Raw genomic sequence first — 16,885 nt, 5'->3', positions numbered from 1 at the left:
AAAAAATTCATTGTCTGAGTCCCAGTACCCATACACTGTATAAAATAATATGTACATATGAGCCAAATAATAACTGCAGATTGCATTTGATTACTTTGCAGAAATGGGCTATTTTGGATTCCTCCCCAAATAATATTTATTTTCTACAAGGATGTTTGATCTTGTACTTTTCCCAAAAGACCTTTCTGTCTGTTTTGAAATACAAATGAAGATAATCTTTAAACGCTATAAACCTGACTCTCCTATTCATACACAGAGTTTACCTTGTGACAGTGTCTTATAGTCCTTTAGGTTTCAAAGCAATCAACTGGTTGCTTCTCAGATGCATTTGGCTACTGTCTACAGAAACTGTTAATGCTCTCAACTGGATGGAAAATTAATGAGGACAAGCCAAATATTCTTGGATTTTTGCAGCTATCATAATCAGGATGCTAATAATTAGAACTTCTGAATTTTTAAAATGAAATAGAAATTACTCTAACCTAGCTGCTATTTTTTGACCATGTATAAAATTTGTAAATGTAATTTTATTTTCTGGAGAATGAGAGAAAACGAATGTCTGACTTGTATCCCCAAACTGAGATAGAAATATAACAAATATATATTATATTTAATTATATAATATAATTATATATAATTATGTTATATTTAATTATATATATAATTATATATATAGCCCCTTATAAAACCATCAGAGCTTGTGAGACCTTACCTTCAAGAGAATAGCATGGGGACAACTGCCCCCATGATCCCCAATATATATAACATATAATTATATATAAATATAAATAATTAAATATATAATATATAATTAAATATAATTTATATATTTGTTAAAGGATATATAGATAGATAAATAGCTGTATTCTTTAACAACAAAAGCTTACTTATGAAATCCAGCTTCAGACTCAATTAGTGCACCTGAGTGAAACACTCACTATTTTAATTATTGGTTCTATTTAGGGAGAGAAATGGCCTCAAGTTTAGAGAAAGTGCTTTGTGGGTGTAAGTAGGTCATTGGCCTCAACCCTGCTATATTTGTGCTCTTGAGAGTAACACTCTCTCAGTTTTCCGGAACCTTCCTCTGCCTTCATAGCTACATTTTGCTTGTATTGTAGGGTAACATAAAAGAAAAAAGTAAAGGAAATGATATTTCACCAAACAAAATAATTTTGGGAGACTTTTTTGGCAATTTATGTTTATGACCACAAAACATTGTCACTCTTCCACCTGCTACATCTCAGAGAGAGAAATATTCACCAATGTCAAACAAAGTATTAGAGTAGCTTCTTCAGGCTCCACACAATTCAGTATCTCTTGTAACCATAGCAACTACATGTATAAAGGAGCAAGGCAAAGTACCCCTGATACTGTCTTGCTTAAATGTCCTGTCTAATATTTGATATTCCATGATATATAGCTCTAGCAGCAAGTTAAGTATGTTGTCTTATTATTTTCAGATTATGTAATTATTCTTTCTGTATTTGAAACTACAATTCTGAGAAATATGAAGACAACAAATTATCAACTGTCCCTTAGCTTAAATCCCTCTATCTTGAATATTGTGTCTGTGTTCTTGTAATTGAGTAAGAATTCCATCTAAAAGACCCTTATCCCCAAAGAATTTCATGAAATTGTAATTCAGTCTTCTCAGAGAGATGTAGAAGAAAAGAACAAGAATAAAACAGACCACATGGTACAGTAGAAAGAGCATGAACTTTGGATTGAGACTGATCTGTTTTGTATCCCAAACCTGCACATTCTGCCAGAAAGAATTCAGACAAGTCACTTCACTTCTGAGTCTCTCTTTCTTATTCTCAAAGCAGGGATATTGACAGGCACTTCTCAAGGCCATTGAGATGATTTAATGAGATTGCATACGTTCTAAGTTCCCCAGCATAGAGCGGGCTCAACAGTCATATATTGCAGAAAATGATCTCAATCACAGTTGTATTAGTCCATTCTCATGCAGCTATGAAGAAATACTGAAGATTGGGTAACTTAGAAAGAAAAGAGGTTCAATTGACCCACAGTTGTGCATGGCTGGGGAGGCCTCAGGAATATTACAATTGTGGTGGAAGGCAACCCTTCAGAGGTTGGCAAGAGAGAAAATGAGAACTGAGTGAAGAGGAAAGCCCCTTATAAAACCATCAGATCTTGTGAGACCTTACCTTCGAGAGAATAGCATGGGGACAACTGCCCCCATGATCCAATTATCTCCCACTGGGTCCCTCCCATAACATGTGGAGATAATGGGAAGTACAATTCAAGAAGAGATTTGGGTGGGGACACAGCCAAACCATATCATTACAGCCTGGTCCATTTCAAATCTTATGTCCTCACATTTATAAACACAATCATGCCTTGCCAAAAGTCCCCCCAAGACTTAACTCATTCCAGCATTAACCCAAAAGTCCAAGTCCAAAGTCTCATCTGAGACAAGGCAAGCCCCTTCTGTCTATGAGTCTGTAAAGTCAAAATCAAGATAGTTACTCCATCGAGACATTGGGGTTACAGGAATTGGGTAAATACAGCTGTCCCAAATGGGAGAAGGTGGCCAAAACAAAGGAGCTACAGGCCCCATGCAAATCCATAATCCAATAAGGCAGTCATTAAACCTTAAAATTCCAAAATAATCTCCTTTGACTCCATGTCTCACATCCAGGTCATGCTGATGCAAGAAATGGGCTCCCACAGCATTGGGCAGCTCCATCACTGTGGCTTTGCAAGCTATACTCCACCTGCCAGCTGCATTCATGGCATTGAGTGTTTGTGGCTTTTTCCAGGCATATGGTGAAAGCTGTCAATGAATCTACCTTTCTGGCATCTGAAGGGCAGTGGCCCTCTTCTCACAGCTCCATTAGGCAATGCCCCAGTGGGGACTCTTTGTGGGCCCTCCAACCCCACATTTCCCTTCTGCACTGCCCTAAAAGAGGTTCTCCATGAGGGCTACACCCCTGCAGCAAAGTTCTGCTTGGACATCCAGGTGTTTCCATGCATCCTCTGAAATCTAAGTGGAAGTCCCCAAACCTCAATTATTGACTTCTGTGCACCTGCAGGCTCAATAACATATGGAAACTGCCAAGGCTTGGGGCTTGCACCCTCTAAAGCCATGCCCTGAGTTGTATATTGCTCCATTTTAGCCATGGCTGGGATGCAGGGCACCAAGTCCCAAAACTACACAGAGCAGCAAGGCCCTGGGCCCAGCCCATGAAACCATTTTTTTTTTTTCTCCTAGGCCTCCAGGCTTGTGATGGGAGGGGCTGCTTGAAGACCTCTGACGTGCCCTGGAGACTTTCCCCCATTGTGTTGGCAATTATCATTTAGTTCCTTTTTATTTATGTGAATATCTGCAGCAGGCTTGAATTTCTCCCCAGAAAATGAATTTTCTTTTCTATCACATCATCAGGAATTAAATTTTCCCAACTTTTATGCTCTGCTTCCTCTTGAATGCTTTGCCACTTAGAAATTTCTTCTGCCAGATACCCTAAATCACCTCTCTCAAGCTCAAAGTTCCACAGATATCTAGGGCAGGGACAAAATGCTGCCAGTCTTGTCATAAGACAGAGTAGAAAAGGAGAACTGCAGCACAATTTGTGGTGACCAATAAATGTAAAGCAAAACTTCAGAAAAACAATATCTCCTCAGATAAATCCAGAATTTTTGTTGATATGTTGGCTTTGGTTCCAATTTGACAAAGCCCAGATGTTGCTTTCATTAGCACCTGGGTGACTCCCTGGAACAGTCTGTAAATCTCTAGGGTCCTTCCACCAGGTACTTAGTGCAGCTCCTCTCTTAGCAACATCTGGAGAGGACAGCTTGAAGATGCAGTGGAGCCCACTAAGGCTTCTAGAATGACTATGATGCCATATACTGGAGTATAAGGAGTATATTTATACTCCTTTAGATTTAACCATTTAAAGAAGCTGGTCTTTTTTTTTTTAAATTGATAGACAATATTTGTACACATATATGGGGTACATGTGATGTTTCGATAAATGCACAGAATGTATAATAATCAAATCAGGGTATTTAGGATACTCATCACCTTAAACTTTATCATTCCTTTATGTTGAGAACATTTCAAATCTTTTCTAACTATTTTGAAAAACACAATACGTTGTTGTTAACTATAGTCATCCTACTGTGCTATCAAACTTATTCATTCTATCTAACTATGTATTTGTATGCATTAACCAACCTCTCTTCATCATTTCACCAGCACACTTTCAGACTCTAGTAGGAGCTGGTCATTTAAAGCCTTGTTCCAAACTCTCTAAAGTTACCTTAAGAAAGCAGATTTGAAAACTTGGGATTATCAACAACAGTGGTTCCCTCAAAATCTCTTGCTGTTTCCTGAAGCAGAAACAACCCAACTGACGTGAGCTCACATACTTCATACTGCTGATAGAACAGATTGTTAAAGCACAAAAGCCACTAATGTCTTAAAATAATTTCCCTCCCAAGTACTTAAGGGGCTTGGCAAAGATCACCAGTGGCCCTTCATATTCTCCTCTCCTAAGAACAGCCCAGGATACCTGCAAATTCCCAAAGGCAGGATGTGCAAAAGCATCGCTAGAGCAGCCTCTGGATTCTTATTTCAATAATCATGTTATATTCTGCCAAGGGAATTTTAAGCCATCAAGGTCATGCTGATGTGTTAGTCGTCATTTTCTAACTGTGACAGGGAATGGTAGCATAGAAAGAGCCCTGCATTCTTTGTCAGCTGACAAGGGTTCTAATCCCAGCTCTGTCACTAGGCAATTATGTGAACTTATGTAAATCATTCAACAGCTCTGGACCCAAGGGCCCTCATCTGTGCAGACTAAATTATTTCTCAGCTCTCATTTAGGACTAAGATTTTATGATCTATACCCTCAATTTGCTTCTGCTTAGATAGCAGGCAGATTGAATGCTCTTTCAAAAGCGCTAACCATCCTTCCTGAGAACACTTGCACACAAGGTTATTAGGTAAATAAAAAAGGAGTTTCTGTTTGCAGAAAAAATATCTTGGTATTATGGCTTCATGTTAATATTTAATGCTTTAATATTATAAAGTCCATGCACATAACACTTTCTATTTCTTACATTTTATTCAACAAATGTGAATTTTGTGAGCGTGATATTCCAGACCCCTAATCATCCCAAAATCACTGGGCTCTTTAAATACCTCCAAATTGGAGACACCATTTGAGAACGATTTTTACCCTCTAGCCATTTAATAGTGATTTTGTTTTTGTTTTGATGCCCAAATTACATTTATTTTTAGTTTATTTGTAAATCCAATATATATTGCACCAGCATCTATGTTGAATCATTTATTCACCAATTAAATTACCCATGAATAATATGATGACTCTGGTTTCCCAGAAATAGAGCATCCCTTGGCTGGGTGGGGTGGCTCACACCTGTAATCCCAGCACTTTGGGAGGCCTAGGCAGGCGGATCACGAGGTCAGGAGATCAAGACCATCCTGGCTAACACGGTGAAACCCCGTCTCTATTAAAAATACAAAAAACATAGCTGGGCTTGGTGGCAGGTGCCTGTAATCCCAGCTACTCGGGAGGCTGAGGCAGGAGAATGGCCTAAACCCGGGAGGCAGAGCTTGCAGTGAGCCGAGATAGAGCCACTGCACTTCAGCCTGGGCAACAGAGCGAGACTCTGTCTCAAAAAACAAAAAATAAAGTAAAATAAAAATAAAATAAAATGGAGCATCCCTTATAAATGATCTTCTTCATTGACATAGATCTAGTCATGCTCATGTTTTATGATGCTAGTAATTGTAGATCACAGCTTCTACTCCTTTTCATCCCTGTACACTACATGATGATACAGCTTAAATTCATACCTATCAAACATCAGACAGGATTTCACAAGATTCCATTAGAGCAAATTGCTGGATATGGTACAACAATATCTGCAAACTTCTGCCATCCCAGGCTCAAGATGAACGATGACAGACCTGAGGCTAATCGCTTTCATAATTCTACTTTAACTGCAGCTGTAAAAAAAAACTAAGCCAAAAATATGTCAATGATCTATTTCAAATACTTTTTCAGGGGCACAATTTTGGAAGTGGTGTATTTATACATGCAATCACTGAGACAGGTAAAGCCTATGCATATTTAGAGCTGATTTTCTATATCTGTTTTTCACTTCATGCTTTAATTTGTTAGAATTACTGAGCCCCTTACAAAACTTGGTATTAATAATCACAATAATACATGCTGAAAAACTAATTTATAATTAAGGAACCTGAACTCATAGTTGTTTTATGAACTAATAGAGTCACATTCAATCTTAAATGTGAGACGGCTTATGTTTTCCTGTCTATAAATTGCCCAGGGGAGGAGATAGCCCAAGGTTATGGACATCTATCTGATCATCTCAGGGATCTTATGGGAGTACCAGGTACATCATCAATAACTTCTAGTGAAGTATCTGCTTGTGCTCAATGAAATACACAAGTTTCAATTCTATTGGCATCTACAGATTGCCTATGATAGTCCAGTCACTCTGTTGCACACGATATATAAAAAGGAGACTGTGCCTATGTTCTTGTCTCAAAGGCCCCAAGTAGTGAAGAAAACAAGAAAACACATAGATGCCGATTCATATGATTGATGCTTTTTTAGAGGCCACATACAAATAGCTGCTCTGGGGTTCATCTGTACATGAAGAGGGTAGAGAAACCTTCCCAGATGAGAAGAGTGTAACATTCTTTTTTTTATTTTATTTTATTTTATTTATTTATTTTTATTTATTTATTTTTTGAGACGGAGTCTTGCTCTGTGGCCCAGGCTGGAGTGCAGTGGCATGATCTCGGCTCACTACAAGCTCCGCCTCCTGGGTTCATGCCATTCTCCTGCCTCAGCTTCCCGAGTAGCTGGACTACAGGCGTCTGCCACCGCACCTGACTAATTTTTTTGTATTTTTTTAGCAGAGATGGGGTTTCACCGTGTTAGCCAGGATGTTCTCCATCCCCTGACCTCGTGATCTGCCTGCCTTGGCCTCCCAAAGTGCTGGGATTACAGGCATGAAAATATCCAAAGGAGGGTTGTTAGATGAACCATAGGATGCCATCACAGAGGGAGTAGCAAATCAATACATTTGCACTTTTGTTAATTTGATCAATAGGCCAGTCAATCAAAGTTGGCTTTTTAGATAAGCATTTTTTCCTTATCAGTAAACCATAGCATGGAACTTAGGGTCAAGGTTGACTTAGCATAAAAGAACAATACTAAAAGCCACCTTTTTTTCTCACCTTTCTTAGCACCCTGGTAGCTATAATATATATACATGAAGTAATTAATAAGGGCTTCACTCAACAACAATAACAGCTATATCTATGTAAAATACAAATATAGAGCTGAACATTCCTAATACCTGGTTCTGGTGAGACCATAGTTAAAGCAGACATTAGTGTTAACATAAATGTTCAGAACTCTGCAATAAGTGATTTAGTAGGTGCACACAGAGGTGATTAACAGCACCGAGGAAGATATATCCACATGATCTCTCAGGTCCTATTTAAATCAGTGATCCTATGACTGCATGAACTTTTGCATAGTTTATCTCTAGTCTATGATAGAAAGCAAAAAAGAATTCACTTAAAATGTACAATAAATCCAGTTGGAGATATCCAGGTAACCTTTGAATTGCAAAGACACAATCACACTGTAAACTAATTTTAACATTTACATAGAGATTGGTTTCAGAGTCATGCATGTGAGACATACCCTACATGTCTTCTTGAGTATATGCATTAGCATCACTGATCATAAAGAATGTGGATGAGCAAATCTAAAATCATTACTAACATCTTATTAGAGTTAGCTAATTGCTTTCGTTAAAACAATGCTAATCCCAGTAAAACTAACTGCAGTTTGAAGAAGTCTTAAAAGTATTTCTTGGTAGAGTTAAATATGGGTTACTATAAATAGGAAACACAGAAAAAGAAAAACCTGTTTTTACAAACAAAAGAAAAATTTCATGTGAAGATAAAAAGCTACAGCCTTTAAACAAGGAACACTGGAATTGACAAAAAAAAATGCATAGTACTTTTATTGTAGGAAAGAATGGAAACCTACTAAAAAGATCTCAAGATGGAGACTGTCACCTGGTCCAATATTAGGAAGAGTTAAACGCAAATGTCCATTACTTTACAATTTGGATATTTCAATATTACTATATCTTGTGGTCATTTATTCTCTTTGTTCATCTATCCATTCATCTTGATTTAATTAGGACTGTTCTATGCATATTCATTCAACATTTATCACTTTTTTTTATGCTGGTTACTATGCTACATACTGGAAGTGTTGAGACTTTCTTTATGTAGGATGAATAAACAACAGAAACACAATATGCAATTACCACATGAAAGACAATTGTATGTTGTCATTGAGCACAATTTCACCTTTCTTTTCACGTGATTTGTCGTGACTGCTGTTAACCAGAGTAGATTGATATAACTATAGAGAATCCAGAGGTACAAGTGATTTCTTGTTGAATTTGCTTGTTTGAAAAAAAGGTGTATGTAAGCATGGTTAATCAGAACAACAGTTAATTATTTACTAGAAAAGGCAATTAAATTTCCACCTACTCCATATGTAATGGTTCTCAATACTCAGAATTCTGAAATGAGAGTCTATTTTTTAAGAATCAGACCGTATTTGTTGAAGGTTAGAAAATGAGACAGTGTCAAAATAGTTTTTGTCTATTTAATTCATAGAAAGTTGAAATGCCATTATTTAGAAACATGCCCAGCTTCAACACTACCCACGAACCATCTGATATTCTTGTCTTTTGAATTCATCCTTCATGGTGATGTTAAAACTCAAGTACTCCCTCACAAAGGCAAATTTCTGAGTTTTTAACCTCAAGAGCCTGAAAGGAAAAAAAACACCGAGTCTCCTAAGGATATCAAATACAGTTCTCCAAAGTATACTTGATACAGGGGAGATGACACTCATATTCTGATAACAATAACAGTTGAGAGAAAATAAACATGCCTCCATGTATTTGCTTGAAGGCATTGATCAATAAAAAAACGCTTATTGAGTTATGTGCCTTTAAGTTCCTACTAAAAAATCACAAACAATTAAAACAAGCATGTTACTTGACTTACCACTTTCTCTTTTCATATTTGACAACTAAGAATATCTTTTAAAAAGCAATTCATTCTACTTAGTGTTAGTAGAGATTATTTCAATATCTTTCACACCATTCTAATATATTAGTAGTTTAAAATATAAAATAGACACCATCTATATAACACATTTAGCTTTGCCTAGGTGGCATTACTTCATGTGCTACAGTGATGAACAAAATGTGTAAAATACAACTCTTTCTATATGTGTGATGATTATCTAACTGTGGAGGAAAGTGCGGACAAGTATCTGCAATAGAGAACTGCATGTGCTAAGATACAGGTGATCAGTTCAGTTGAGTAAGAGCTCTTTTCTGAATGCTAGAGCTGAAATGCTCATTCTTTTGTAATTTTACATGAGCTATTTTATTATTTAGAATAAAATTTTGCTAAAAGTCCATGTCTTCCTATTCTTTAATATAATTAAATGGGTATTAGAAGTTACTGCATAGGGAACATATAAATTAAATGATGTGAGGGGTGTACTAGTTTCAGCAGATAGATGATAAATTGCTTTGAGAAGAGTTGGCTCAAAGAAAAATAGCAATAAAGGCCTATGGTAGAAGAAGCCTTCATAGAGAACACAATAACTCAGCTGTCACAGGTCACTGGGCTCTTGGAGAGCTGACAATAAAGTAAATGCAAAGCTGATTCTATAGACTGACTCAGACCACAGGCTTAGAAATCCACCCACCCACTAAGGTGAATATTGCCATATGTTAGGCAGAACCACTTCCCAACAAACATGGAAATATCGACATTTGGGATATCCAAAGACCCAAAAGGATATCAATTGGCTTTGATGCACAGTTTTGGAACATGGACAGAATTTTCTGAATTCTGGAAGAGAAAGTTGGAAAAAGATGAATTTCATTTTATAATAGGCTTTACTTTACTCAATCTAATAGAAAACCCATCATGAGATGACGAAACCAGAGTGGCAGTGGCACTCCTAAGGTGACAGAGGATTCAAGACTCAGGCACTAAAAAGATTAAAATTATTTTTTTAAAGGGGGGTGGTGGATCATTCCTTCTAGGTCAGTTTTCCCTGTAAGAGTAAACAGAGAGGGAGTCAGGCAGGGAGAAAGAGACAGACAGACAGACAGACAGACAGACAGACAGACACACACACACACACACACACACACACACACACACACACACACACACACACACAGACTGATTAATTAAAGTAAATACGTAGGAATCAACCTAACACTTTCAATGCAAATGGGCTGGAGTTGTCCACCCCAGTGGAAGTTTAAGTACAGCATTTTGAATAATACAGTAATCAGTTTTTTTAATGCAGTGGTTTTTCTTGATATGTATCTTACATTGAACACACATTTTGTTTTGGTTTTAAAAGCTGAGGACCAGTTATAAGAAAAAGATTTGGAAGAATATATGAAAAGGCTGAGCTAGTTTCCCCCACTCCCTGGAGTAGAAAATAAATAAAATTTCCAACTTAGATGTAGGACTAATAAGGGGAAAGCAAAAGGTCCTTGTGATGGAGTCTTCCTAAATAGCAATGCTCTGACTTGTCTAAGGAAAGAAAGGGTAAGACACAGTTCAGATAGTTTTTCAAGTCTGAAAATGAAGGGTACTAATTCTTCACTTTAGAAGTATATTCCACATAAATTAAAATTCTATTTTCAGAACGACATGGGAAAGGGAGTGTTGAAAGGTAAGATTGATGTCTCTATGTAAAAAGGGACTGAAGCTGCATCAGAGTGGCCTCAAAAGGAATAACAAGAACACTTTGCTAGACCTGGACCTAGAGAGGACTCTTGTTTGGGAATAGCTGCAACATTCATGTAATAGCTGCGGCATTCATGTAACAAAGGATGAAGCTGGAACAGGTAAACCTCAGTGGATACCAGACTGGATAGATGGCGAATAAGGGCAAATGTTCTCACTCCTAAATATGTAAGCATCATTGCCACCACCCCTTCATACATTAAGGAAAGCCAACCAGATGGTAAAGAGAAATTTCAAAGTGTCTGACAATTTTTTCACCACCCGTTAGAATTACATTTCAATTAGAAATAGTTTTGTTGTGCAACATTAAAGTAACACTTCATGCTTGCCTGAATTTGTGGACTAGATGTTTACCTAACATGCACTTTGTATCGATAGCATCAACAAAACAAAATAAGACAAAACATAACACTCAAATCTATCACAGGATCAACTTCCCTGGGTTTCCTAGACTGCTGATAATTTCAACTTTAAAAACATTTTGCTATGTTAAACGTATTATATCAGATCTTCTTGGTTTCTTTGCCCTGTCTCTATGTTCCCCCCTCTTTTTATAAGGTTCTCTTCACTGTTTTTTCAGTGTTGGACTCGAGTTGGACCTCAAATGTGCTATAGGTTTCAGATTGATCCTGGTAAACCAGACCACCAACCAGACTCCATGGACCTCATATATTAGGAACATTCACAGTAAAGTCTAGTCTTTATATAGGATAAGCCAGTCAAATTATTTAATAGCTTCCCACAATTTCATTATGTGTAGGTAAGATATGCAATATGTCAAACTAGCACGAGGGAGTTATATCTTCATTATATTAATTGATTGGCATACTGGTTTTGCCCCCAGAGAGACTGACACAGCTGGACCTGGAGAGAAGAGTAGCAGGAAGGTTAACTGGTAACTAACATTCAATGAGGAAGAAGAGTGATCTAGGATCCAAAGACAGCAGAGCAGGTCTTTCTATTTCCCGAGAGCCAGGAGCCTAGCAAACGCCCCCAGGAGATGAGCTGCAGCAGAGCAACAATACCCCTGCCTATTCATCCCCTCAACAGTCGCTTATTTCTGACACCCCCTCCTCCACCCAAGGCAACAACCAAACAAACAACAACTTAGAAAAAGGGGAGGGGTTAGAAAGAAATCCTGGACTCCCTAAAAGGAAGGGAGGGCATAAAGTGAGTGCCTTGACTTCTGTTAAAAAGAAAAACTTTAGTCGAATTACATTTCAAGGAGTTTAATTGAGTAATGATGATTTGCAAATGGTGCAGCCCCCGGAATCACAGCAGATTCAGAGAGACTCCAGGGATGCCTCGTGGTTAGAACAAATTTATCAACAAAAAAAAGGGAAGTGACATTCAGAAATCAGAAGTGAGGTACAGAAACAAATGGATTAGTTACAGCTTGGCGTTTGCTCAGCAGCGTATGAATGGCCGAAGTATGGCTGCTGGGATTGACCAAGACTCAGCTATTGTTACAGGCACATACTCCTGAGTTAGGTTTTAATCTTGTCCACCTTTTAAGTTAGGCTGCAGTTCATCTGCAAGGACTCAAATGTAGAAGTACAGAGTCCTTCTCAGGCCATATTTAGTTTGCTTTAGCATTTCCGTTTCCGAAAATACACTAAACTCCGTTTATCCCTATTACTCCTTGCACTAACAACTGCTTTTATCTAAGAGGAAAAGTGAGATGCTACAACAGAGACTCAAAATTACAGTGGCTGAAAGAAATGGAAATGCACAAGTATATTCCTCTCATATGACAGTACTCAAGGCTCAAGTTGCTGTACTATAGGCATGTTTAAAGATTGAGGAAGGAGAGAAGAGATAAAGAGAGAGAGAAAAAAAGGAGAGGAAGAAGAAGGAAGAGAGGGGCAGGGAAAGGAGCCTTGCTGCTCACCTACTGTGGGACTGAACTGAAACAGTAGCAAGTGCCTCTACTGGTGGGGACAACAATGCCACCACAACTAAACAAAGCCAAATAAAACTCAACTAAACAAAACGGAAGCAGCATAGTGTTAGAAATGCTTGTTCCCTAGTGCCGTAAAGAAATAGCACTAGAACATAAATGTCATTTCCTCAGCAAGGCCATTTTTTTTTTTTTACTTTCTGCAGAAAGGGTACACTCGCCAGCAGTTTTGCCACTAGAGTACACCAAACAAAGGAGACAGGCTCATTTATAACCTGACGCATCCACCCCACTGCTGTGTCCAGTTTCCATTGGCTGGAATGGGACCTCACATCCTGTATTTGTCCTGATTGGCTAGCAACTTAGAACTTTTTTAAAAAGGCAAAGGCAGAGGAGAACAAAGGAAGGAGGAACTAACTTATGGAATGCTGAGAAAGGTAAAAACAGGCTATGACCTAAAGCTTGCTTGGACCAGTATAAGCAAGCCAGGGCAAACATTTAGGCTACATTGTGGGAGCTATGAACATAAAGTACACTGATTTCTTTATTACGGCTAGCAGATATTTAAGAATGTTAGCACGGGTCTTTGAATAAATTTTGCTTCTAAGAGAAGTTACTATTTATTCCTAATTAGATGGGGAGGAAAGTCTTTGAAGAGGAACCTCTACTTTACTTTTTACAATAGGTTGAACTTTGGGATGTCTGACCAAATGTTTTCCGTCTCACCACTCAGAGTGGCCACATGCCAGTTGCAAAGAATAAGATTATATTCATGAGCAAGTCAGAATCTGTCCTGTGATAAATGCCTGGGGGATGAAGGTCAGCATCTGCTCTGTCATTTGAATTTGATATTAGAAAATTTAAATCTGAAAAGAGAATCTCGAAGTGGGTATCAGAAGAAGAGAAGATGTGAGGGACAAAAGGATAGGATCTACAGTGCTGTTACATCCTCACTGGCATCAACAATTTAGACTCATCTCTATATCCATGTGTAACTTGTTACAGGTAGGGGTTAATTTAGCCTATTTTCATTCTTTATGCCTTTAAATACATAAAACACACTTTGAAACTGACTTTTATGAATTTGTTTGTAGATTTAATTATTTTCCTTATTCTGATTATTTATACTTTATTTCTCAGTCTGCAGTCATAAGCTGGCCTCAACACACTGAAGTATATTCAGCATTATAAACACACTGAAACACCAAAAAGGCTGAGATGCACATAATTTGAAGAGTGAAAATGGCTCGAGAGCATGAAGTCTCATTATCTGTAGGTAGGTAACCAAAATCTGTGTCTAGATATTTAAATATAAATAGTTCCTGATATCTGGACTGTGACAGATGTAAGTCACATTATCACTTCTTAATTACCTCCATTACTAACTTCATTATTTCTTTTAGCTTTAAGAAGAATCTGCGTGAGCTCATGGGGCTCAACTGCTTCAGGTGAAAGAGAAATGAGCACTTTTCCATGGGTACATTGCTGGGATTTTGTTGATACACATCACATTCCAACCCCAGGTTATGCTAAATGAGTGACTAAAATGATCCTTGGGGAGCTTGTGGCATATGTGGGCTCCCTTAGCAACCCAAATGCCTAAAGCCAGCTCTGCCTATCACATTTTCCAGTCTCTCCCTATTCATATCACCTTATCTCCTGGAGCTCATGGTGTAGTGTTCTACCTAGAGGGCCATTTTGCTTTTCTCAGATAACAGGTATATTTTAACATCAACATTTTTTTTTATTATTGAGATACAATTTATTTTTAAGGAAAAGTCTTCATAGTGTCATACTATATTATGCAATGGGACTTTAACTTCCCCAGAGTTACATAAATTCTGAAGAATTGAATTGAAAATTCAAGATCACATTTTCTTCATTGCTGATAGATAATGGGACAATTAGCTCTGTCATATTCATACACTTTGGGACATATTTTGTTGGTGGTTACTATTTTCCAGTAATATCCTCTCCTGTCTCTGATTATCAGCTGAAAATCTTCAAATCCCTTTGCCCTTTTCTTCATGCAGATACTTAATCTCTTTCACTTATAGGTTTATGCTATATATTCACTGAGTGCTTGTCAAGAGCTGCAGCTCCTATTTTTGTCTTGGACATATGTTGACTAAATATTTTACCTGCATTGAGAAGGATTTAGTCAATGTTCAAATTATGTCAAAATAACTCACTGAAAAGTGAAGAATTCAAGTTATGTGTTTTGAACTCTACAAGAAATTTTGTAATAGGCATTTGCTAAACTACTAAAATGTGCTAACACTGTTCTGGGCACTACACAAATCTAGTGTCCAATACATACTCCCTGGCCTCAGTTTAGAGAGGTTAAAGAGTATTACACAACAAAGTATGGAAAAACAAATTATGTACAATGTAAGATAATGATAAAAACATTGACAGTTGAAGCAAGTTTTGTTTTGGCCACACTAACTGTGAAACTTTAGGTGAGTTATTTCCAAATTTGGTTTCGTCATTTGCATAATGAGATAACAATAATAATGTTTGATCTGAGGAAGAAATAGGAACAAAAATGTAACGTTCTTAGAATAGTGTTGGCACATTCTAAGTAAGCATTAAATAAATCTCAGTTATTTCTACAATTTTCTGTAAAGCAATCAAAATATAGGGTTGTGTTCAGAGCTATGGAGGCTAAGAGAAACAAGATATTTCTCCTGAATAAGAGTAGACATTATGTGTGGCCACAGATGTGATGTATAAACTGGATTGATCTTTATGAATTAGTAGAAACATTCTTTGTCTTGGTCCCACTGTTAAAACATGTATGTAGGTACGCATGTGTATGTGTGCATATGAGTGGGGGTGTTCAGAGATATCTCTAATTTGTATTTTGTTTCTGTTCTCCCCCATATTAGGCCATTTTCAGGCTGCTGATAAAGACATACCTGAGACTGGGAAGGAAAAGAGATTTAATTGGACTTACAGGTCCACATGGCTGGGGAGGCATCAGAATCATGGTGGGAAGAGAAAGGCACTTTTTCCAAGGCAGAGGCAAGAGAGGAATGAGGAGGATGCAAAAGCAGAAAACCCTGATAAACCCATGAGATCTAGTGAGATTTATTCACTATCACAATAATAGCACAGGAAAGACCTGCCCCATGATTCAATAACTCCCTCTGGGTCCCTCCCACAACACATGGGAATTCTGGGAGATAAAATTCAGATTGAGATTTGGGTGAAGACACATCAGAACCATATCATTCCTCCCCTGGGCTCTCCAAATCTCATGTCCTCACATTTCAAAACCAATCATGCCTTCTCAACAGTCCCCCAAAGTTTTAACTAATTTCAGCATTAATCCAAAAGTCCACAGTACAAAGTCTCATCTGAGACGAGGCAAGTCCCTTCTGCCTATGAGCCTGTAAAATCAAAAGCAAGCTAGTTACTTCCTGGATACGATGGGGATTCAGGTATTTGGTAAATACAGCAGTTCCAAATGGGTGAAATTGGCCAAAATAAAGGGGTTACAAGGCCCATGCAAGTCTGAAATCCAGTGGGTCAGTCAAATTTTAAAGCTCCAAAATGATCTCCTTTGACTCCAGATTTCACATCCAGATCTCACTAATGCAGGAGGTGCGTTCCCATGGTCTTGGGCATCTTTGCCCCTATGGCTTTGCAGGGTACAGCCTCCTTCCTGGCTCCTTTCACAGGCTGGCATTGAATGTCTGTGGCTTTTCCAGGTGCACAGTACAAGCTGTCAGTTGATTTCAGTTGATCCACCATTGTGGAGTCTGGAGGATGGTGGCCCTCTTCTCACAGCTCCACTAGGCAGCGCCCCAGAAGGGACTCTGTGTAGGGGCTCCAACCCCACATATCCCTTCCACACTGTCCTAGCAGAGGTTCTCCATGAGGGCCCCACCCCTGCAGCAAACCTTTGCTTGGGCATCCAGGCATTTCCATACATCATCTGAAATCTAGGCAGAGGTTCTCTAACTTCAATTCTAGACTTCTGTGCACCTGCTGGCTCAACTCCATGTGGAACCTGCCAAGGCTTGGGGCTTTCACCCTCTGAAGTCACAGCCTGAGCTCTATGTTGGCCC

The 16,885-nt window shown here is 38.2% G+C and overlaps 2 long non-coding RNA genes across 4 annotated transcripts in view; one reads left to right on the top strand and one right to left on the bottom strand.

Moving 5' to 3' along the window:
* LOC105374557 (uncharacterized) overlaps positions 1-16,885 on the bottom strand; it is a 485,690-nt gene that overhangs the window by 4,227 nt on the left and 464,578 nt on the right. The gene's annotated exons all lie outside the window — the stretch shown is intronic.
* LOC105374558 (uncharacterized) overlaps positions 13,620-16,885 on the top strand; it is a 62,953-nt gene continuing 59,687 nt past the window's right edge. Inside the window, exons 1-2 of the long non-coding RNA XR_925528.3 lie at positions 13,620-13,814; positions 13,950-14,085. This is a non-coding gene — a long non-coding RNA (uncharacterized LOC105374558). The remainder of the gene's footprint in view (positions 13,815-13,949; positions 14,086-16,885) is intronic.

Source organism: Homo sapiens, chromosome 4, assembly GCF_000001405.40.
Source record: "Homo sapiens chromosome 4, GRCh38.p14 Primary Assembly".
NCBI lineage: Eukaryota > Metazoa > Chordata > Mammalia > Primates > Hominidae > Homo > Homo sapiens.
This window is presented reverse-complemented; position numbering and strand designations above follow the sequence as displayed.